The sequence below is a fragment of the Homo sapiens genome, chromosome 9, assembly GCF_000001405.40.
Source record: "Homo sapiens chromosome 9, GRCh38.p14 Primary Assembly".
Lineage (NCBI taxonomy): Eukaryota > Metazoa > Chordata > Mammalia > Primates > Hominidae > Homo > Homo sapiens.
The window spans coordinates 122,658,701-122,683,204 of NC_000009.12; the positions used below are offsets into that span (position 1 = coordinate 122,658,701).

A 24,504-nucleotide genomic window follows, 5' to 3' on the forward strand; every position below is an offset into this window, starting at 1 on the left:
GCTGAGTGCCTAGCACAGAGCAAGCACTCACTGAATTGTTGCTGTCTGGGATTTTTAAAAATTAATGTTTAAGCAATAAGACAAACAGATTGAGATATTGCATAGAATGGAGGTCCAAAGTGTTAAGTGGGGACAGAGACAAAGCCATTTCAACTGGTAGTCATCAAGCAAAGTGTCCTGGAAGAGGCTGAATTCGAGCCTTGCAGGTTAGGTTTAATAGATGAAGGAAAGGATAAGCAAAGACACAATAGTCTAAATGGGTGAGGGGCAATGAGTCAGAAGGAATCAGATAACCTTGGATTGCAGTTGTACTGGGATATGGGGAAGTTTAAGTCCTAATTTGAGAATTATATCATACACACAAAGTGAGATGTCCCAAATGACCAGAAATATGGATTGCCATAAAATATAAAATATATGTCCCTAGTGGCTGGAGGGAAGGAGGAATGGAGAATTGGTGTTCAGGGAAAATATATTTTCAGTTATATAAGATGAATAAGTCCTAGAAATCTGCTATGCAACATTTTTCCTATTATTAATGATACTGTGAACTAAAAATTTGTAAACAGGGTAGATCTCATGTTAAGTTTTCTTACCACAATGAAAGAAAAAAGAAAAGAAGAAATAAGAGAGTAGAAGCCTTATCCTTCTCATCCATTCAGCTCATCTGTCAGAATCCCTCCCCCATCACTTCCACCTGCTTAGAGCCATCTCTTTGTAGGAGGAAAACAAACATCACCTTAAATTTCAAGTAGTGAGAGCAGGAGCCATTTCAAATACATGACAATCTGAGTTCTAGAATGGTTCCAGTGAGGATTACTTTCTTACTTTCAAACAGATCCACACAATAAACTAGAGTGGCCAACCACTTCTTTTTTTTTTTTTTTTTTTGAGACGGAGTCTCACTCTGTTGCCCAGGCTGGAGTGCAGTGGCGTGATCTCGGCTCACTGCAAGCTCCACCTCTCAGGTTCATGCCATTCTCCTGCCTCAGCCTCCCGAGTAGCTGGGACTACAGGTGCCCGCCACTATGCCCAGCTAATTTTTTTGTATTTTTTTAATAGAGACGGGGTTTCACCGTGTTAGCCAGGATGGTCTCGATCTCCTGACCTCGTGATCCACCCACCTCGGCCCCCCAAAGTGCTGGGATTACAGGCGTGAGTCACCGCGCCCGGCCCCAACCACTTTTTTTGAAAGTTGCTTTAACAATAAAAATATCGATCTGGTTTGCTTAATGTTTGTGTGTTACAACTGTAATAAAATTAATAGCTAACGCTATATATATATGCCCTGATGGCTTTCCTGAGTGAGAAGCAAGGGTCATACATAAGTAGACTTAAGGATGCTTCAGACAGAAGAGTAAAGATTCCAGGCCTAGGGTCTAAAGTCTTAACCCTATTGCTTATTATATTTTAAAGTTCTAAGAACAGTGTCTAGCAAGGGACTGCTTCTAACACTGGGAGATGGGAAAGTGACTAGTGGCATAAGATGTTCTAGTTGTTTTAGCTTGATGATCAACGAATTCCGAGAAAACGTTCTCCAACCCCACATTCTGTCTTTCAATGTAAGCAGCACAGCGGTGAGGCTCAGGAAGTCTGTCACTTGAGCCAGCCTCACACAGGTGGGGTCTTTTTCACCAAAAGGAGTTAGGTCAGGAGGGTGATTTCTGAGAGAGAGAGAAGGCACTGACACTCCCCAGGCTCCTTGGGGAAGAAACTCCAAAACCGTAATAGTTCTTGGCTTGTTTTCTGCTGTCTTCTCCATCTGAACTCCAGGGACTTCTTGATGATCTCAAAGGATGCTCCCTTGACAGAGGGTGGGGTCTATGAGTGTCTTTAATCTCTTCAGCATGTGGGAGGCCCAGAGGAGGAAGAGAGGAAAATCTTCAGCTTCATGAGGGTTGAAAGCTTGTCTAGAATCAGGTGCCTTCTCTGTGTGGTTTTTTGGGGAAGCATATATATAACTGAGACTGGAATTGGGAAAAGAATTACACCAACACAGACAAGCATGCACTAACAATGACGATTTTAGCATTTAGGGGCTGGATAACAAAAATGAGGTTTATGTTACATTAAAAGAAATGTTGGCCGGGTGCGGTGACTAATGCCTGTAATCCCACCACTTTGGAAGGCCAAGGTGGGCGGATCACTTGAGATCAGGAGTTCGTGACCAGCCTGGCCAACATGGTGAAACCCCATCTCTACTAAAAATACAAAAATTAGCTGGGTGTGGTGGCACAAGCCTGTAATCCCAGCTACTCAGGAGGCTAAGGGGGGAGAATCGCTTGAACCCAGGAGGCAGAGGTTGCAGTGAGCTAAGATTGTGCCACTGCACTCCAGCCTGGGTGACAAAGCAAGACCTTGTCTCAAAAAAAAAAAAATAAGGAAAAGAAATGTTTTTACTATCCTGTTATTTCTGTCTATCTTTTGCCTCTTCATACCTATCCTTTCACTCAAATAAGGTTTCACTAAAAAATGAGGGAAATGGAGTAACTGTTGGGTAATCTCATATTTCAATGTCTTTTTACATGATTGCCAGCCTCCAGAATAACTGATGCAGACAGAAGTATCCGAACTAAGGGAAATCATTATTCCATCAGCTGGAAATTGAGAGATGAAACTTTTTTAAACCTGTCATAAACTAATTACTGAAAACCGTGAATACGATAAATATATACAGAAAAAGAAGAGAATAATTTCTCCAGGATTCCCCTCCTCTCCTTCTGGGAATTCTCTTGCACTCACTCCTTCCTCTTGCCCTATATCTCTTCTTTTCTCTTTTTCCCATTTCTGTTTCCCTGTAATTTGTTTCTTTATAGCAGGCAACTGAGATTAAAATATATATTAATTTCTAAATATCCCACATTAATGGAAAGAAACCACAATCCAGATAATTGTAATGTTTTAAATTTTTTCTTTGCTGATAAGAAGAATAAAAGGAGAAATTTTGGACAGATTGTATCAGATGTTGGAAGAATCTGTTACAGTGTTAGTTTATCTTTAGGTGAACCCACAACTATGGGAAGAAATAACCTAACAAGACCCTCTGAATTCATCCTCCTTGGACTCTCCTCTCGACCTGAGGATCAGAAGCCGCTCTTTGCTGTGTTCCTCCCCATCTACCTTATCACAGTGATAGGAAACCTGCTTATCATCCTGGCCATCCGCTCAGACACTCGTCTCCAGACGCCCATGTACTTCTTTCTAAGCATCCTGTCTTTTGTTGACATTTGCTATGTGACAGTCATTATCCCTAAGATGCTGGTGAACTTCTTATCAGAGACAAAGACCATCTCTTACAGTGAGTGTCTGACCCAGATGTACTTTTTCTTAGCCTTTGGAAACACAGACAGTTACCTGCTAGCAGCCATGGCCATTGACCGCTATGTGGCCATATGTAATCCCTTCCACTACATCACCATTATGAGTCACAGATGCTGTGTCCTGCTTCTGGTTCTCTCCTTCTGCATTCCACATTTTCACTCCCTCCTGCACATTCTTCTGACTAATCAGCTCATCTTCTGTGCCTCAAATGTCATCCATCACTTTTTCTGCGATGATCAACCAGTGCTAAAATTGTCCTGTTCCTCCCATTTTGTCAAAGAAATCACAGTAATGACAGAAGGCTTGGCTGTCATAATGACCCCGTTTTCATGCATCATCATCTCTTATTTAAGAATCCTCATCACTGTTCTGAAGATTCCTTCAGCTGCTGGAAAGCGTAAAGCATTTTCTACCTGTGGCTCTCATCTCACAGTGGTGACCCTGTTTTATGGAAGCATTAGCTATCTCTATTTTCAGCCCCTGTCCAACTATACTGTCAAGGATCAAATAGCAACAATTATCTACACCGTACTGACTCCTATGCTAAATCCATTTATCTATAGTCTGAGGAACAAAGACATGAAGCAGGGTTTGGCAAAGTTGATGCACAGGATGAAATGTCAGTAAAAGACCTAAGGTCTTAAGAGAATACCACAGATCTCTTGCCCTGGACTATAGGTTATTAATGGGTATGTGATTCTGAAATGATTATTAGATTCTGAAAGGATAGTACCTTCAATGATGGTGTTTCATTCCTTACAGAAGAATGTTTATTGCATGTATTGAAGCTACTCCTGAATATAATGCCTACAAACTAAGTTGGATCACTGTAATCTCCTGAGTATCCCTATTCATGCAGCTGGGTTTTCTTGTATAGTAATGTAAAGCTGCTTGAATGTCTTTGAGCTACTCTGTGTGTGTGTGCGTGCGTGTGTGCATGTGTGTGTGTATGTGTGTGTGTGTCGCTTCATCATATTAGCCCAGGGGCTCCTCAATAACGAGGTCTCTCTCTTTCTCCCATTATAAATGTCAGAACTGTGACTCCTTCCTCTGCATTTCCTCAAAGATTAAAGCCTGGCTTCTATAGTTGTCATAGTCTCAACAAATAAAATCATCCCACTAGATAACTCTTAGTGAATCAGTGCCAGGTCAGGTTCCTAAGAGTATGGCATCTCAGTATTCTTCCTGCTTCCCACCTGGCAAAGCTGACTGTACCTTAAATCTCTCATTAATTTCATTTGACCCAAACTCAACTGCACTGTTTTCCCGGGAGGTATGTGTTAGGTCCCAGTAACCTTAGTAGCAGATGCCTCCAACTGCTGGGGCAGTTCTCTTCCTTAACAGACTTTGAAGACAGTCTTCCAACCAGAAAAACAAATTGGGTAGGAAAGAAACACTTTTGCTCATTTGTGAGTTCTGAGAAATATTAGTCACTGCTAGTCCATGAATTATCTTGCAACTCAGAGATTTATGAATTCATTTGCTCTTTCAACAAATTTCTACTTCTGATACACCATGAACCAGCCTACTGGACTTAAAAACAAAGATAATGTACTACATGATTTAAGTCAACAATCTGAAGGCCAAAGATCAGCAGGGTCTAAGGAAACAAAATAACACAGGCAATACAAGTATTTGGAGGGCAATTTCCTGTTAATTGGATTGTTTTAGGTTTGCAAGGTACAGAGAAACACACATACTTTTAAGTAACAGATGTCAAATAAAAATCCAATCTGGTCTTAGGTAAGGAGAGATATTACTGCAAAAGTGGGGAAATGGTCTATAGCAATAATGCAAGGGAGACTATTACACTAGGGAGAATGTCTCAATTGTGAGACCAACAAAAGTGTCAAATGTCAGACAGAAAAGGAATTTTCTTTCATAAAGAGAAGTGAACATGAATGAGGCTAGAAAGAAACAGATATGCAGAAGTGGGATGAGCTAGTAACAGTAGCAGGACTGAAGAGTTGATCAAAGAATGTATTTTATCAGTTGACGCTCCAGAGGGGTCATTAAGGAGGGGTTATGTGTTAACTCAGATTGAGGGTGGGACAAAGTTCATTCTTTTCCAGAACACAAAAGAGTGGAGGGATTTCTTTAACTGTCACTGTTTTCCAGGAGCACAGGGCTCAGGTAAAATTCAACATTGGCACAGGAATTTGCTGTAAGAATTCATGAGGTAAAAAGAAGACATAAATCTCAGCTGTGCAGCCAGATCTCACAGAGGAATAAGAACCAAAGCATAGTTGGGCCCCACAGAGTTGGAAGGTAATTCAGGCTCTGGAAGGCTACTCAGGGGAAAATGCAAGATTCGTGAACGTGTCATTTTGATGCCCTTCCACATGAAGTTCAAACAAGAAGGCCATGGTCATGAGAATCACACAAAAGATAAGAAGCTTCTCTCCAATACCCTCTCCAAATGGGAGAGAAGAGTCAGCTAGAGTGAATTGGAGATTACATGGTGATAAAGTAAACATGGAAACTTCCCAGAGACATGTTTGTCAGAGGATATTTACAATAGTTACAAATGTGCCCTTCATGCAAGTATAAACTCCCCCCAAAATAAACAGCCAAACTACTCCAAACATCCTTAGTAAACCATACACCACACAGGGACTGCCTTACCTAAGTAACTGGAGAAGGACTCAGTTGCACATCTGGGTCAATATGAAGAATAACAGAAGCAAAAGCTTGCAGGCATTGATCATAAAAGATTACAAGCCTCTGGGATTTGCAGAAACATTGGCAAAGAACTTAAACTTCCACCAACCAGGCAATTGATAGATTCCTGAATTCAATCTTACTTGAACGTTCAGCAGAGGGATGCTACTGATCTTTACACTATGTAATAACAGCCACCAAGCATTGAGCTGTAAAAGGCACTCCAATGCAGCACTTTACATACATTATCATACTAACTTTCTACTAACCTTTTGATGAAAGTACAAATTTATTATGTCCATATAACAGATGTGATCAATGAGAATCAGAAAGTACAAATAACTTGTTGAATATCAAACTACTCTTAACATCAGATCTGAGAACTTAAACTTGTTCTGAAAATTGTATTTTTGGCTCTTAACCCCTATCCTACCTCCCTAAAGGTACCTATGTGTCCATAAACACAAATTTCTTCAACCTACTATTTTCTTTAAAAAAAAAAAACAAGTCTAGGTCAGTGAAGTGGAACTTTATTTTCATTCTTAAAAGCAGAAACCCAGAGGCACAGATGACCACAAGGACATAAACTTCCTAAAACTATGCAAAATTCTCCATAATAAGTTGAACTTCTGCATGTTGTGAAATGGGAACATTGAGTCACATTTACTTAGACCTCAAGGGGCAGAAAATCCCTCAATGATAGCTATATCTGTTGAGAGTTTTTATTGTGCCAGAATTAAAACATGTTTTAATTATCAGAATAATACTATGATATAATATTATAATCTGATAGTAACACTATAATCATGGCCACTTTACAGATGAGGTAGCCAAGTTTCAGACGGTTTAAAAGACTTTCCCAGCTATGACATAATCAATATGGCAGAATAGGAGATACCAGCCTTTATCTCCCAACCCCACCACCCAAAAAACAAATATAGACAGCAATACACAAACCAAAATAACCCAGAGAGTGCTCAAGGGCTCATTTAAGAATCTGCAGCAACACAGTGGTGCAAGAAGAAGAATAAAAAGAAGAAGAGGAATGTACGCACATAAAGGACGACTTGTGAGATCAGTGTCCCTGAAATACCTAGAGATGGCTAGGTACAAAGAGAAAAGCCAAGGTCACTGGTATCAGGCACATTGAGGGAGACACCATGGTCCCTAGTGACCTGCTCTGCAGAAAACTTCAGCATTTTTGTCACTAAGGTAACCAAAAGCCATTCCTGCCAGAGAACCCCAGAGAAGAAGAATTGGCTTCACACATACACACCCTCAAGAAGTAGCCAGCGTTGTGCCACTCCAGAACCAGAGCCACCACTCCTCTCAACTTGACATATGTTCCTGACCACTAAACTGCAGCTTCTCCATGACTGCCTGCATTCCAGACCTTGGCTCTGTGGCTGTACTACATCTACCCATGCCTCAGATATCAGAGCCAACACCATAGCAAGTTAGTTTACACTCTGCACCCCAGAATTAAGGTCTGTCTGCATGGATTCACACACCAAATATCAGCCCTGCCACCATAGAGAGCTAGCACATGACCTGGAGCCTGGAGCTGCTATAGCTCTGCACAAGTCCATGATTCCCTGCCTGCTTCATAAACACCCATGTCTTGTACAACATTACCGACACAACAGCAGGGGTACCTGCACCCTGGGCACCAGTGCGTTTGCTGCCCTGGACCTCAGAGCCACGGTCTTTCCACACATGCCTGTGCTCTCAGCCTTGGCTCACTGGCTACTCCACAGGTACTGTTCATCAGACACCAGTATTGCTGCCAGTGTGAGCAGGCCTATGAGTCAAACCCAGTGGCAAGAGACATCCCTTTGGTCATGGTTTCCCAAGTGGAAGAAAAAGATCTCAGGAGAACTTTTAGCAGCCATAAACACCAAACACATCAAAAGCCCTCACTGCTGCTGCAGGCACTCACATAATTGATCACTGCCCTCTAAACTTTACCAACGCTTACTGCAGATGACATAGCTGTACAGAGACTATGCTGCTGCACCCTCACCAGAGTCAGAATTGCTGCACCCTACATAGCCAGCACCCTTGCATGTTCCCATAAAAGAAGATCCTTCCCCACCAAAACCATCCCAGAAATCAGACAGACAGAGGGGATTATTTCACTGCCTTGAAAACTTTGAGTGTATAGTCTTGGTTGCAAGCAAATTCAAGCATTAACAGAAGGCCACAAGAAACATGAAAAGCAAGGGAAACATATCATCACAAAAAGAATACAATAATTTCCCAGTAGCTGACCCCAAAGAAACAGAAATTTCTGAACTGCCAAAGAATTCAAAATAATTGTATTTAAGGAATCTCAGCAAAGTTCAAAAGAAGACAGAGAAAAAAGTTTCAACAAAATCAGGAAAACAATAAATAAAAAATGAAAAAGTTACATATTGAAATACTAAAAAATCAATAAGATATTCTAGAGCTGAAGAATACATGAATGAAATAAAAATACAATGGAGAATGCAGTGAATGGAATAAAAATGAAACAGTGTCAATGGCAGAATTAATCGAACAGCATAAAACCCTGTAAAATTGAAAACAGTTTATTTGAAGATATACACTCAGAGGAGAAAAAAATGAAAAGAAATGAAGAAAGTGTATGGGATTTATAGGACAACATAATGATAGCTTTCATCTGCATTATAGAATTTAAATAATGTGGAGAGAAAGAGAAAGGGATAGAAAGGTTATATAAAGAATAATAGCTTAAAACTTCCAAATCTGGGAAAAGATATTAATATGCAAGTACATGGAAATCCAAGGTCTTTAATCAGATTCAATCCAAATAAGACTACCACAAGACATGAAATCAAATTATAAAACAAAACAACAAAGAGAGGTTCCTAAAAGCAGAAAGGAAAAAGAAGCATATCACATTTAACTGATTTCCCATAAGGTTAGCAGCACACTTCTCAGCAGAAAATTTGCAGGCCAAGAGAGAGTGGGATGACATACTCAAAGTGATGAAAAAAAACTGTCAACTAAGAATATGTGACCAGCACAGCTATATTTTAGAATGAAGAAGATATAAATACTTTCCCAGAAAGGTAAAAGCTGATGGAGTTAATCATCCCCAGAGCTGACTACAAGAAATGCTAAGAAGAGCTCTTCAAGCTGGAAAAAAATGATACTAAATAGTAACATAAAAACATGAAAATATAAAACTCACAGGTAAAAGTAAGTACATTGTCAAATTCAAAATAGTCTAATTCTGTAATGTTTGCATAAACCAGTCATAACTTTAGTATGAATGTTTAAAGACAAAACTATTAAAAATAGTAACAGTTACAATAATTTGTTAAAGGATACACAATAAAAAATAAAAGATGTAAATTGTGACATCCAAAACATAAAATGGAAGGGGCAGGAGCTTGAAAGTGTAGTTTTTTTATGTAACTAAACTTAAGTTGTTATCAGCTAAAAATAGCTTGTTATAACTACAGAATGTTTTAAGTAAGCTTCATGGTAACTGCAAAACAGAAACCTATAGTAAATGCAAAAATGAAAAAAGTAAGGAATCAAAAGATACTACAACAACAAGAAATTACCAATTGAAGACACAGAAGAATGAAACTAGACCCCTATTTCTCACCATATACAAACATCAAATCTAAATGGATTAAAGACTTAAATCTAAGACCTCAAGAAAATATTGGGGAAAATGTTCAGGACATTGGTCTGAGCAAAAATTTCTTGAGCAATATCCCACAAGCACAGGCAACCAAAGAAAATGTGGACAAATGGGATCACATCAAGTTAAAAAGCTTCCACACAGGAAAGGATACAATCAGCAAAGTGAAGAGACAACCCACAGAATGAGAGAAAATGTTTGCAAATGCTATATCTGATAAGCAGTTAATGTTAATATTCAAAATATATAAGGAACTCAAACATTCAATAGTATGAAGGCAAATAATTTGGTTTTAAGGTAAGCAAAGGACCTGAATAGACATTTCTCAAAAGAAGATATACAAATGGCCAACAGGTATATTTTTAAATGCCCAACATTACTAATCATCAGAGAAATGTAAATTAAAACCACAATGAGATATTACTTCACACCTGTTAGAATGGCTGTTAGCAAAAAGTATAAAGATAACGATTGCAAAGATGTAAAGAAAAGGGAACAGTTACACACTGTAAGAATGTAGATTAACACAGCCGTTATGGACAACAGTATGGGGGCTCCTCAAAAAACTGAAATTATTATTACTATTACTATTTTTTGCGACAGAGTCTCACTCTGTCGCCCAGGCTGGAGTGCAGTGGTGCTATCTCGGCGGCTCACTGCAAACTCTGCCTCCCTGGTTGAAGCAATTCTTCTGCCTCAGCCTGCCAAGTAGCTGGGACTACAGGTGTGCACCATCACACTCGGCTGATTTTTGTACTTTTAGTAGAGGCGGGGTTTCACCATATTGGCCGGGCTGGTCTCTAACTCCTGACCTCATGATCTGCCCGCCTTGGCCCCCCAAGAGTGCTGGGATTACAGGTGTGAGCCACTGCACCCAGCCAAAAAACTGAAATTATTGTGTTGGATATAAAAATGCTCTAGGAAAAAATGCTTTGTGCCACAAAGTGAAACCAACACTTAGGCAAAAGTTGTCTCAGCAAGGCAATTCACTTCTGCAGAAGAGTGCCACTTGTGTCAATCAAGATCGCAAGAGCACAGGGAACAAAGGAGAGCAGTGAGTTTTTATCTCTGATGGTCGTTCTTACCTCTGTGTCACTCCGCCATGGGCTGGGGTCAGGCCGCACAATCTGAGCTGACCCAATTGGCTACTTGCAAATATTTTTCTAAATACGGAAGGGAAGGGGGACATGAGGTACAGTGGTAAAGCATGTGAGATGTCCAGTTTCAGGGGAACAATGGGTGCAGGTAACCAAGGGAATAGATGTGCATTATTGATTAGAGCTGACGGGAAGTGGATAGGCTATTTACAGTAACTAGGGGCAAGGAGGAACAAGAAAGTTGAGTTTGAAAACAAAGGACAAGGAAGTTGGGAGGCTAAATCTTTGAAGAGAAACTCAGAGAAATTCATTGTATCTTACAATTGATACAGGGGTTAAAAAGAAATTATTTAGGCAGTGAGTGAGGGTGAAAAAATACTTAGCGGGAATTTTCCTTTAATAAATAGCAGCTCCCAAATCATTTCTTTTCTAATAAAAAGCAGCATGAAAAATCAAGTTGCAAGCATAGATAAGCAAGCTGGAAACTTGCATAGGTAAATGCCAGCAGCTATGCCAGACACCACGTATATCCAACATGGCAATTCCCTCTTCCCTTTTCCTTGTTGCCATATGTGTGGGTGTCATGGCGCCAGCCAGGTGAAGGCTCCATTTGCATAATACAAGATAAAGTGGGACGGTCTGTTTCTTCACAGGCTATGTAAATGGCACACCTGGTCAAATCAAACCCCTGAGTCCTATGTAAATCAAACACTGACTCCTCAAGCCCCTCTATAAAATCGACCACATCTTACCCCAAACCTGGAAATCCACTTGGACACCCCCTTCCTCTGCATGAAGAAGCTCTCTTTCTCTCTCTTCCTCTCTCTTCTTTCTTATGCCTATTAAACTTTCCACTTTGTTCTCCTTAGTGTGAGACAACAAACGTCTGGTATTTCCCCAGACAATGAAACTCCTTCAATCTAACTACCATAGAATTCAGCAATCTCATTTCTGGGTATATATCCAAATGAATTTAAATCAGTCTTTCAAAGAGATATCTGCACCTCATGTTCATTGCAATATTGTTCACAGTAGCCAAGATATAGAATCAACCTAAGTATCTAACAACAGATGAAGGGATAAAGAAAACGAGGTGGCTAGGCACATTGACTCACATCTGTAATCTCCCCACTTTAGGAAGCCAAGGCCAGAGGATTGCTTGAGGCCAGGAGTTTGTGACTAGCCTGGGCCACATAGCAAGACACCATCTCTGCAAAAAAAATTTCTGTAATTAGCTAGATGTGGTGGCACATGCCTGTAGGTCTAGCAACTTGACAGGTTGAGGTGGGAAGATTGCTTGAGCCCAGGAGTTGAAGGCAGCAGTGAGTTATGACTGCAGCACTGCACTCCAGCATGGGCAACAGGATGAGGAAACAAAGAAAGAAAAGAAAAGAAAGAGAAAGAGAGAGAGAGAGGAAGGAAGGAAGGAAGGAAAGGGAGAGAGAGAGAGAGAAAGAGAGGAGGAAAGGAGGAAGGGAGAAAGGGAGAAAGAAAGAGAAAGAGAGAGAGAGAAGGAAATTTTGCATATTCCGTGTGTGTGTGTGTGTGTGTGTGTGTGTGTGTGTGTGTGTGTGTGTGTGTATTATTCAACCATAAAAAGAAGGAAATCCTGACATTTGCAACAACATGGATGAACTTGTAAGACATTATGCTAAGTGCAATAAACCAGATACAGAAGACAAATATCTTATAATCTCACTTATCTGTAAAATCTTAAAAAGTTGAACTTATAAAAACAGAGCGCACAGTGGTGGTTGCCAGGGACTGGGGGTGGAGGAAACGGGGAGATGTTGGTCAAAGGTCATGCACTTTCAGTTATAAAGTGAATAAGCTCTGGGGATCTGAAGTAAAGCATGGTGAACATAGTTAATAATATCATATTGTTTACTTGAAATTTACTAAGACAGTAGATCACAAGTGTCCTCACCAAACACACACACACTATGTGTGGTGATGGATGTGTTAATTAATTTGATTTTGACAATCATTTCACAATGCATGTATATATCAAATCATCAATTGTATACCTCGAGTGTATACCGTTTTTATTTGCCAATTATAATATAAATTTAAAATAAAATCCTAACCACCCCCTATCCCACCAACTAAATGAATGCCCAGGTAGCCAACGGGACTCCAGAAAAACCTTAAAACCAAGTTCCTGGCCATGTCAGGATGGTAGGTTAGACAGGCTTCACTATATACCCTCTCTTTTATGATGTAGACACAACAACTGATCAGCATTATTGTTAAAATAGACATCATAAGATGAACAGAACAGACTCTTAGTGGCAATAAGATACCAAATTATAAATGGGACCTATGGCCATGCCAGGCAAGGGTTAAGTCACACATCCCTTCACTTAAAGAATAAACTGTGTTCTAACTGCCACAAGGCTTTCCTCTTTCTCTAGCAGCTAACCCAACCTTGGCCTCAAGATAAGCAATATTACAACAATTTTCAGCTCCACAGATGCCGACTAACTGAACCTCAGCCCTTGTTCCACCAGCCATAACTACAGCTTTGATTGGACAAGAGACTGATTTTAGTAAATTTCTGCTGATAAAAAGATCACTGACCATGAACTGGTTCTGTCCAGTTTACAGAGACTGTGCACTTACGTGCTTTCTTTTCCTGAAAAGATCTTTTGATGTATAGGCCCTAATTGTAATACATTTAAATGTTAAGTCTCCATCCCAGAGTGAACATGAGTCATATGTTACATGCATGTTGGTTCAATACACATGTATCAGGACTGTCTTCTTGAATATTCGTAGCTTTTTCTGTAACCTGTTGAATATGTGTTTAGCCAACCTGTTCAGCATAAAAGCTCCTATCTCAACTCCTCCTCCTTCAAAGTGCCTATCTCTGGTTTTGGCTGAAGGCATGCTTCCCGGCCTCTGGATGGCCACCTTGTAAGCTGTAACCTCATAAAAATTAAAGTCTCCCCTCCTCTTCCAAATGTATAATCTTTTAAGTTAACAATAACTTAATGCAGTTAGGAGAGGGAAAAAAAGAAAAAGAAATAAAGACAGTGAGGTTCTTGAAATATAAGATGTAATCAGAAATCAATAAGCGACAGGAATGGACAATATATAAAAGGCAGGGCATTTGGGGACTCTGATATATGGATTCTGTGTGCTTACATGAATCAAGAAGAGTAAGAGATTTGAAGCTGGTGGCTTTCCCTAGCAGTGATAGCAAGGAAAGGAATCCGATATATGAGCAGCAGACTTGGAGATTGCCTAATACAAGAAGGGTGACCTATGTTTGGGTTCAAAGGTTTTAACACTACATTTTGTTAGAAAATAGAACCATAAAATCACCACTACTAAACTAGTAGCTGCATCTAATCCTGGAAGGGTTTGGAAAGAAGGCACCAATGATGTTGGGGTACACTTGGGGTAGTTGTCCTTTGAAAAAATGGAGGCAGTAAGGAGGAGGCCAAATTGATATTTTATAGGTTCAAGGGGGGAATTGGACCCAGGTGTAAATGCCAGGTACTCTGTTCTCAGTGCTAGTTGGGACATCTTCCAGGCAAGCCCTCAGCTTGGAAGAGCTGGGAAAAGAAAATTATCGTCCATCTGAGATACCTACATCAAGCTAAGCAGATCTTGCACTACCTCCGAAGGTTCCAAGAGGAGAATGTGGGGCCACTTGCTGGGGGGAGCAGAGAAAACGTGCAATTCCTCTGGATCCCTGGAGACAATTCTGCACAAAGTTAATGAATGGTTGTTTTCTTACTGTCTCCCCTAGGAAACATCAGAGACCTAGTGGCACAGTCTCAGAAGATACTCCCATGAGGAAAACAAGGGCTATAAGTATCTACAACTTGTGAATGACAGTAAGAATCCAGGGAAGGGAGCATTCAGAATCAAGAAGCACTGGGAGATTTTCGACAATTAGATACCTTTTTGTATGCAGTTTCTTGGCACAGATTTATCTTCTTTCTGACTAGTTATTTCATGGAGCATAAATGAGAGGAATGAATACATAAGGCCAGACGTTAATGTCCTTTCCAGGCTTACCTGGAAAGGTACTCTGACCCAAGAGTACCTTTGACTCTTATTAACTGTAGTCACCTGCTGTGTAATAGATCCCCAGAACCTTATTCTATCATTTTACACTTTAAGATAATCCATCTGCTCATTGTCTAAAATACCATGAGAGATTAATTAATTAATTAATTAATCAACCTAGCGAGTGCCTGATGAGAAAGTGGAAATACCTGATCTCTGGGAAATAATTAGTCCTTACTGGACATTAAATAAGAGAGCGAATTTATGTTCACCCTAAGTGTAGATTATCTGTATTTATACTCTAAAGTCTGATCTTCCTTTACCCTAGCCAACTCCAGAATTACATTCCCCTGACCTCAGAATATGGATTATCAGCCAGAGAGTAGGAAAGCTTGGGAGAGAATTTTCTCGCAAAAGTATTCTGTCCCCCTCACTCTCTCATTCCCCGTGTTTCTTTTCCCTGTAACTGTTTACATTCAACTCAGTGTTCTCTAAGTGAGTTTCTTGCTTCCATTGTAAATGATGTGGAAAGAAACATCTGGACTTAAAAGAAAAGGTATTCATCAATTACAAGCTAGGTGAGATAACTATCTTGTTACCTAGATGTGGTTTAGCCACTCAGAATCCTTAATCAGAAGATGGCCTGAACTTGATTCAAAGTCTTTATCTGTGGTTCCTGTAATTACCAGCCACAGAGTAAGTAGGAGGAGAAACTTATCAGCCATTCGCTCCCAATCTCTTTCTCTCTTTCTCTGTCTGTCTGTCTGTCTCTCTCTTTCCTTGTATCTGTTCTCTATAGATCTTGCTATGGGTTAAATGTTTATGTCCCCCCAGAAGTCACTTAATCCCCAATGTGATAGCATTTGGAGATGGATATTTGACAGGTAATTTAGGTCATGAGGGTTGGGGCCCTCCTGATGTGATTAATGCCCTTATAAGAAAAGCTTGCTTCCTCCCCCTGCTTTCTGCCATGCAAGACTACAAGGAGAAGACAGCCCTCTGAAAACCAAGAAACAAGCCCTCTGCAGACACTGGATCTGTTGGCAACTTGATCTTGGACTTCCCAGCCTCGTGAACTGTGAAAAGTAAATGTTGTTTAAGCCACCTAGTCTATGATTTGTTTGTTTGTTTGTTTTTTTGAGACCAAGTCTCGCTCTGTCACCCCGGCTGGAGTGCAGTGGTGCAATCTTGGCTCACTGCAACCTCTGCCTCCCAGGTTCAAGCAATTCTCTTGCCTCAGCCTCCCTAGTAGCTGGGACTACAGGCATGCACCACCAGGCCCGGCTAATTTTTTGTATTTTTAGTACAGACAGGATCTCACCATGTTGTCCAGCCTGATCTCGAGCTCCTAACCTCAAGTGATCCACCCACCTCAGCCTCCCAAAGTGCTGGGATTACAGGCATGAGCCACCGCATCTGACCTGGCTATGGTAATTTATTATAGCAACCTGAACTGATTAAGACAGGTATCTACCTCAAAGATCTTTTAAAAAGTGAAAACACACTTTCAGTTCTGATTCTCCATGCTCAGGAAGAAAAATAAACTACAGAGTAAATGCTCTATTAATAACTACTCAGTGTAAGAACAACGTGGAAAGATGCATGTTGTAGATGACATAAGAATTATGTCATTAATTGACAGTGTTGCTTATCTTTAGGTGAGTACAAGTCCATGGGAATGTCCAACCTGACAAGACTCTCTGAATTTATTCTCTTGGGACTCTCCTCTCGGTCTGAAGACCAGAGGCCACTCTTTGCCCTCTTTCTTATCATATACCTGGTCACTTTGATGGGAAATCTGCTCATCATCTTGGCTATCCACTCTGATCCTCGACTTCAAAACCCTATGTATTTTTTCCTAAGCATCTTGTCCTTTGCTGATATTTGCTACACAACAGTCATAGTCCCAAAGATGCTCGTGAACTTCTTATCAGAGAAAAAGACCATTTCCTATGCTGAATGTCTGGCACAGATGTATTTCTTCCTGGTTTTTGGAAACATAGATAGTTATCTCCTGGCGGCTATGGCCATCAACCGCTGTGTAGCCATTTGTAACCCATTCCATTATGTCACTGTTATGAACCGCAGATGCTGTGTGTTGCTACTAGCATTCCCCATCACTTTCTCCTATTTCCACTCTCTCCTACATGTCCTCCTGGTGAATCGGCTCACCTTTTGTACATCAAATGTTATCCATCATTTTTTTTGTGATGTCAACCCTGTGCTGAAACTGTCCTGCTCCTCCACCTTTGTCAATGAAATTGTGGCCATGACAGAAGGGCTGGCCTCTGTGATGGCTCCATTTGTCTGTATCATCATCTCTTATCTAAGAATTCTCATCGCTGTTCTCAAGATTCCCTCAGCAGCTGGAAAACACAAAGCCTTCTCCACCTGCAGCTCCCATCTCACTGTGGTGATTCTGTTTTATGGGAGTATTAGCTATGTCTATTTGCAGCCTTTGTCCAGCTATACTGTCAAGGACCGAATAGCAACAATCAACTACACTGTGTTGACATCAGTGTTGAACCCATTTATCTACAGTTTAAGAAACAAAGACATGAAACGGGGCTTACAGAAATTGATAAACAAGATTAAGTCTCAAATGAGTAGGTTCTCTACAAAGACCAATAAAATCTGTGGACCCTGATTACAAGGTGTGTGTGTGTGTGTGTGTGTGTGTGTTAGCACCTGATGCCACTCTTTTCTTGAAAAAACGTTCCTTCATCTTCACCATTTGTAGCTTCACCTCGTGGTTTTCCACCCTGTGGTCTCTGTCATCGTATGATTGAACAATTAGGATGTCTTGGTATCAATGCCCCAATCACAGACTCACCTCATAATATATCTTAATTCCAGAAAATCACATTCCCTTTACTCTTTGCATATTTATTTGGAGCCTCTCATATTTCTTTGTGTTTATAAATTCATCCAAGTTTGGTCTTTCAATTATCAGAGAATTTTCCTATATACCTATGTAGAAATTTAAATATGTGCAATGATATTATGCACACATAGTCACTCTCTTCTATTTAAAGCTGTCAGGAATTTTTTGCAGGCATGTGTGTATGTATGTACAAGTCTCACCTGCCCATGAGACTACAGGCTATGGTCCCCCTCTCCACCTTTTTAGAGACAGGGTCGTACCCCCCTGTCACCCAGGTTAGAGTGCAGTGGCACTATCATAGCTCACTATAACCTCAAACTCCTGGGCTCAAGCAATCCTCCTCCCTCAGCCGCTCAAGTAGCTAGTACTACAGGTGTGTACCACCACCCCTAGATAATTGTTTTAATTTTTTGTAGAGACAAGGTCTTGCTATGTTACCCAGGCTGGTCTCAGACTCCTGGCCTCAAGTGATCCTCCTGCTTCAGCCTCTCAAAGCACTGGGATTATAGGCGTGAGCTACCATGCCCAGCTTTATGGTCCCTTTTTAAAATTATCACAAGAACTGAATGTCCTGGACTCTGGAGTCATAGATTCTCAACAACTGCTACCAATTATCTGATTGACTTTTTCTTTTTTTTTTTTTTTTTTTTTTTGAGACAGAGTCTTGCTCTGTCACCCAGGCTGGAGTGTGCAGTGGTGCTATCTTGGCTCAGTGCAATGTCTGCCTCCTGGGTTCAAGCAGTTCTCACCCCTCAGCCTCCCAAGTAGCTGTGATTACAGGCGCCTGCCACCACGCCCAGCTAATTTTTGTATTTTTAGTGAAGATGAGGTTTCACCATGTTGGCCAGGCTGGTCTCGAACTCCTGACCTCAAGTGATCTGCCCGCCTCAGCCTCCCAAAATGCTGGGATTACAGGCGTGAGCCACTTCCCCCAGCCTGATTGACTGTTAATAAGACAACTCTACGTCTCTACATGAGTTTGAGTCTCTACTCTTTCTTCTTTTCCTATACCCAAGGGGCATTCATCCCCTGACTCTTCCTGGGGCTTCTTGCCTGTTCGCTCTTCCATCTAGAGATGCATATATTTCTAGGCGTCTCTAGGTGGTTAAATAAAACACTGAATTTAAAAATCTCCACTGTCTCCTCTATCTGTCTAGTTTTTTTGCTCAGAATAAAAAAAGGTTTATTCCATGTAATCAGAAATGTTCCCTATGGTCACTGGAGGCAGAGTCAAAATATCAATAAATATAAACTACTAGCAAGGGTCTCTTGGGTCAGAGTGCCTGATACAAAGGAGGCTCTCAATATAGTTGGGGAACAAATTACATGACTTAGGAAAGCAGTCAGATGAATTATTTCCCACAATATTTTTTTAATTGCAGCAATTTAATGAGTTTCTCTTTCTTTCTAGTATTCGTATTTTAGTAGATGGAAATGTCGAAGTCAAACAAATTAATCTCTCATGGTATTTTAGACAATGAGCAGATGGATTATCTTAAAAAGTGTAAAATGATAGAATAAGGTTCTGGGGATCTATTACACAGCAGGTGACTACAGTTAATAATAATGTATTGTATATTCCTAACTAGCTAGAAGAATGGATTTTAAATGTTCTCACCACAAAGAAACAACATGTATTTGAAGTGATGGATATGTTAGCCTGATTTGATGATTCCACAATGTATACATGTATCAAAACATCACACTGTACTCCACAAATATATACAGTTATTATTTGTCAATCAAAAAATAAAGTAAAACTTTTTTAAAAGAGTCTTTAAATACCTTTGTTTCTGCCCTTGTTAATCCCTAACCAAGGGTAAGGCAGAATCAAAATAAGGATATACTGTTCTATTTCATTCCTTTATTACATGTATTGCAAAATTAATTTTAACTTCCGTGCCAACTGCGGACCCCTGCATTGCTAATGAGAAAACTTATGTGCCTACCACTGGGCTGAATGAAGAACGATGAAGATTGAGTATGTCTACAATGGGCATGGGAGAAAGGAGCACTGGTACATATAACAAGTGAATTTTCACAGTCACCACAGGCCTCAAGACTTGGGCATACTTTCATTCTATAGCATAACTTTTTAAAATTCTTTATTTCCATAGGTTTTTGAGGAACAGGTGGTATTTGGTTACATGAGTAAGTTATTTAGTGGTGATTTGTGAGATTTTGGTGCACCCATCACCCAAGCAGTGTACACTGAACCCAATTTATAGTCTTTTATCCCTCACCCCCCTCCCATCCTTTCCCCCAAGTTCCCAAAGTCCATTATATCATTCTTATGACTTTGTATCCTCATAGCTTAGCTCCCACTTATGAGGGAGAACATAAGATGTTTGGTTTTCCATTCCTGAGTTACTTCACTTAACATAATAGTCTTCAGTTCCATCCAGGTTACTGTGAATGCCATTAATTTGTTCCTTTTTATGGCTGAGTAGTATTCCATCATTTTATATATATATATATGTATATATATATGATGTTATATATATATGTATGTGATGTGATTATATATATGATGTGATATATATATATATCACAAGTTCTTTATCCACTCATTGGATATGAGTGGATAAAGCATTATGTCTGAGTAGTAGTCCACCATATGTACATATATATCACATTATATTATATTATATTATATATTACACTATATTATATAATATATATTATATATAACACTATATTATATAATATATATTATATATAACACTATATTATATAATATATATTATATATAACACTATATTATATAATATATATTATATAATATATATTATATATAACACTATATTATATAATATATATTATATAATATATATTATATATAACACTATATTATATAATATATATTATATATAATACTTTATCCACTCATATCCAATGCATATATATCCTATATATATAACATCATATCTATATAACATCATATATATATATAACATCATATATATATATGTGTGTGTGTGTATATATACACCACAAGTTCTTATCCACTCAGTGAGTGGATATAAACTCAATGAGTAGAAATAAATCAATGTGCTGCTATAAAGATGCATGTGCAAGTTATCTTTTTTGTATAAGTTTATAGATCATTCTATAGCTTAATTTGTATAGTTTTTTTTTTTTACTTTTTGCTTTGCCCAATTGAGGCCCAATTCTGAGTTTCTCTTATCCCAATTCAATAATTTCTCCATGACTTCTGTTATAATTTAGCCCCATTTATTCATTTCATACCCCTCCTGGCTGTCATTGCTCCCTCCACGCTCTTTCTTTAAACTCTCAGGACTTAGGCAGCTTACTCCTGATGTCCCTAATATAGAGCAGGGTTTTTTTAGTGTGGTCTACTTTGGTTCTATACTAGAATCTGTTGCTAACATCCGCCCTTTTTCCATCCATTTGTCACCATGGATGATCACTAGGGCTTGCTTTGGATTGGCAACTGGCTTTCATTACTCCTCATACTCTCTAGTGATGACCCAGTAGAGATGTCACCATTTGCCATCAAGAAGTGGTTAAACACTGAATTTAAAATCCTCCACGTAAATATATAGTACATAGTAAATCCCAATATATGTTCAAATCTATTTCTGAACTTTTGATTCTGTTTCACTAACCCAATCATCTCTATTTGTGTCAAACCATAATGTTTGATGGTCATAGTTTTTAAAAATATATACTAAGGTAACTCTTCCTTCTTTGAATCCTACTTTTCAAAAAAGTTATTGACAATTCTTACACATTTATTTCTTCATGTGAAATTCTCAAAAGTGCTAAAGTCTTTCTTTTACCTTTTTATCAACTATGTTCACATGTGGTGTCAAACATGAATTAGGCTTGAATTGTGTCCTTAGCTGTAAGGTAAGATAGTTTAAATAGATGGATGGATAGATGGATGATAGATAGATAGATAGATAGATAGATAGATAGATAGATAGATAGATGATAGACAGACAGACAATAGATTGCCTCAACCACTCTCATGCTGTACATATAGGCATATAACTACATAAATATATGGCAAAGTTGTACATGGAAATTGTTTTAATTGCTGTATATGTTTTCCAAAAACCTATTGGGGTTCTAATTGAAAACGTATATAATTTGTACATTGGTTTGGATAAAACTGACATTTTCATGATATTAAATCTTCCCATCCAAGAAATTCTATATCTTTCCATATGCTCAGATCCAGATTTAAGGAGCAATCACTCTTGATTTTCAGATTCAGAGCATGCACTGTAAATATTTAACCAGAAGATAACTTCTCTTTCATCTCTAGATGGTTTCTAGGGCACCATTTCTGTTTCAATCAGCCCTAAGTTCCTGGATATCCCCAAAATCTCACCTTAAACTTAATGATTAGTTTCCTATAAAAGTTATTTTCATTCTTATTATATACCCATTTCTATACTTTGATTCTTCCTACAAACTGGACATACTCTGTGGTCACTTAGCATTTGTTTGACTGCCTCAAATGCCAGGGAACCCACAACATAATGGGGTAAGCTATCCAACTGTTGGACAGCTTCTGTGTTAATCAGAATCTGCCTTCCTGCTATAATGCCTTCAAATATTTTGGTAACTTTCAATGTATAGAAACCATTGATTATTATGTTGTCAAGTTTGTCAAGCTTTTCCCTCTAAAAAAAAATAGCCTCCTATATTAACTTCAGTTCTATTCTATTCTTTAGTTTTAAATATTTTGTAGACAGATATATAATAACTATTTCATCTATATATTTAATTACTCTGATAACATTTATAATCACTAATTTCAAATGCTAAATGCCCATATATACATTTATCTCATTTATTTATTTGTTTCACTGATATGTGTCTTATTCTGCTTTATGTTGCTATAATAGCATACCCATGACTGGGTACTTCATAAAGAAAAGAAATTTATTTCTTACCATTCTGGGGACTGGGAAGTCCAAAGTCAAGGGGCCTGCATCTGGTGAAGGTCCTCTTGCTGTGCCACCTCATGGTATAAGGTGGAAGGGCAAAAGAGCATGAGGGAGAGAGCAAGGAAGCGGATTGTACTCATCCTGTTATCAGAGACCCACTGCTGCAGTAACTAACTGACTCCTGAGATAACAGCATTGAACCATTTATGAAGACAGAGCCCTCATGACCCAATCACCTCTTAAAGTTCCCACTTCTCAATACTGTTACATTGGGGATTAGGTTTTTAACAAATGAACTTTGTGTGACACATTCAAACTGTAGCAATATGTACATTTTTTTTTTTTTAAGACGGAATCTTGCTCTGTCGCCCAGGCTGGAGTGCAGTGGCGCGATCTCGGCTCACTGCAAGCTCTGCCTCCCGGGTTCACACCATTCTCCTGCCTTTAATTGCTATAACTTAAGAGCTTTTAAAAAATCTTTTAGGGCAAGTCCTCCATCGTTGTTATTTTTAATTTTTTTGATCATTCTTAAACAATTTCTTTTCTAGAGAAAATTTAACAATGGTTAATCAATTTCACAAAAATTTTCTTGAGATTTTGTATTGTATATATTGAAGGTGTACAACATGATGTTCTGATATATGTATACATAGTGAAATTATTATTATAGTCAAGCAAATGAACATATCCATCATCTTACATAGTTAGCTTTTCTAGTGTACTAAAAAGTACCTAAAATCTATTCTCTTAGAAAATTTTCAGTGAGCAATATGGTATTGTTTAACCCATTTCCTGTTTGCCCCAAGAATACACTTGTCTCTAATCCTAATGTAACAGAAATGTTACATTGTTTTTTATCCATAAAATGGTTTCAACATTCAAGAATTACTGTGAAGATTAAATGTTTTATGTGTATAAAATGCTTAGACCAGTGCCTGGTTCATAGTAAGCATTTAGTCAATGTTGTTGTTGATGCTGTCACTCTCTTACCTGTTCCTTTCATAATACCTAATGTGATAAGATGGAAGACCTGATTTGAACATCCTAAGAAGATGAACTAAAGTTGCTTCATCCAGAGTATGAATTTAATGGAAAATAGAACAGTTTAGACAAGAAAGGGATTAAGAAGGCTGACTAGATGAAGGTAGTATGTTCCTCCTCCAGGGAGAGGAACCAGAATAGAAAGTAGGTACATTTCAAACAGACCATCTAGAAGAGAATGCTAGGATTCACCAGAGAAAATACAAGAAGCACCAAAAATAAGTAAAGAGAAGGTTCAGGACACCTTGCCTAGTGAGGGACTAACTGAGAGCTGAGAGAGGCTCCTAGATATGGGGAAACAGTAAGAGAGAAACTCCCAGGTTTCTCTGGACTTTGGGAGAAAACTTTGACCCTCTAGACCTTGGGCCTGACATACAGAGCTGCCTAAAGATTGCACAGAGATGTCATTCCAGAAAGGGAACCCACATGGAATCTCACAGGCATCCGAGCCTAGACCAGCCTCAGCCAGGTGCCATTTAGAGAGCCCAGATACTGGCGATCTACATACTTAGCTGCTGCCACTGTGCTGCTTCAAGGAGAGATAGGAGAGACTGGGTGCTCCCGTGCACCCCTGGGAGGATCCCTACCACTCTGCTGTGGAATGCTGTTGAGATTGAGATATGAGCAGACCACATTTCCCACAGCTTCTTGCCCATGGTGCTCACCTGAGAGGGGATCCACGCTCTCTGGTAATAAGCCCACAACTGACACCATTTTAAGAGTTTAATCCTGGGATTTGCCTCACCCTTGGGCCAAGTTTGAGTTGCCATGGCTGCAGCCAGCACCCAGTCAAAAAGGGACAAGGAAACCAAGCTGTCCTACACATATATAGGACAATATTCACTACCCTGCTACAGGCTGCTGTGAGACTAAGACTTGAGCAGACCCCATTCCCCATAG

The 24,504-nt window shown here is 39.3% G+C and overlaps 2 protein-coding genes across 2 annotated transcripts; both read left to right on the forward strand.

Annotated features, from left to right (window-relative positions):
- Positions 3,016-3,948, forward strand: OR1L1 (olfactory receptor family 1 subfamily L member 1). Its single transcript, NM_001005236.3, has one exon. It carries the CDS (start codon positions 3,016-3,018, stop codon positions 3,946-3,948), a length of 933 nt encoding a protein of 310 aa, NP_001005236.3.
- OR1L3 (olfactory receptor family 1 subfamily L member 3) lies at positions 16,430-17,404 on the forward strand. The gene has a single exon (NM_001005234.1). The coding sequence runs from the start codon at positions 16,430-16,432 to the stop codon at positions 17,402-17,404; it is 975 nt and encodes a 324-aa protein (NP_001005234.1).
- Positions 17,405-24,504: the final 7,100 nt, after the last annotated feature.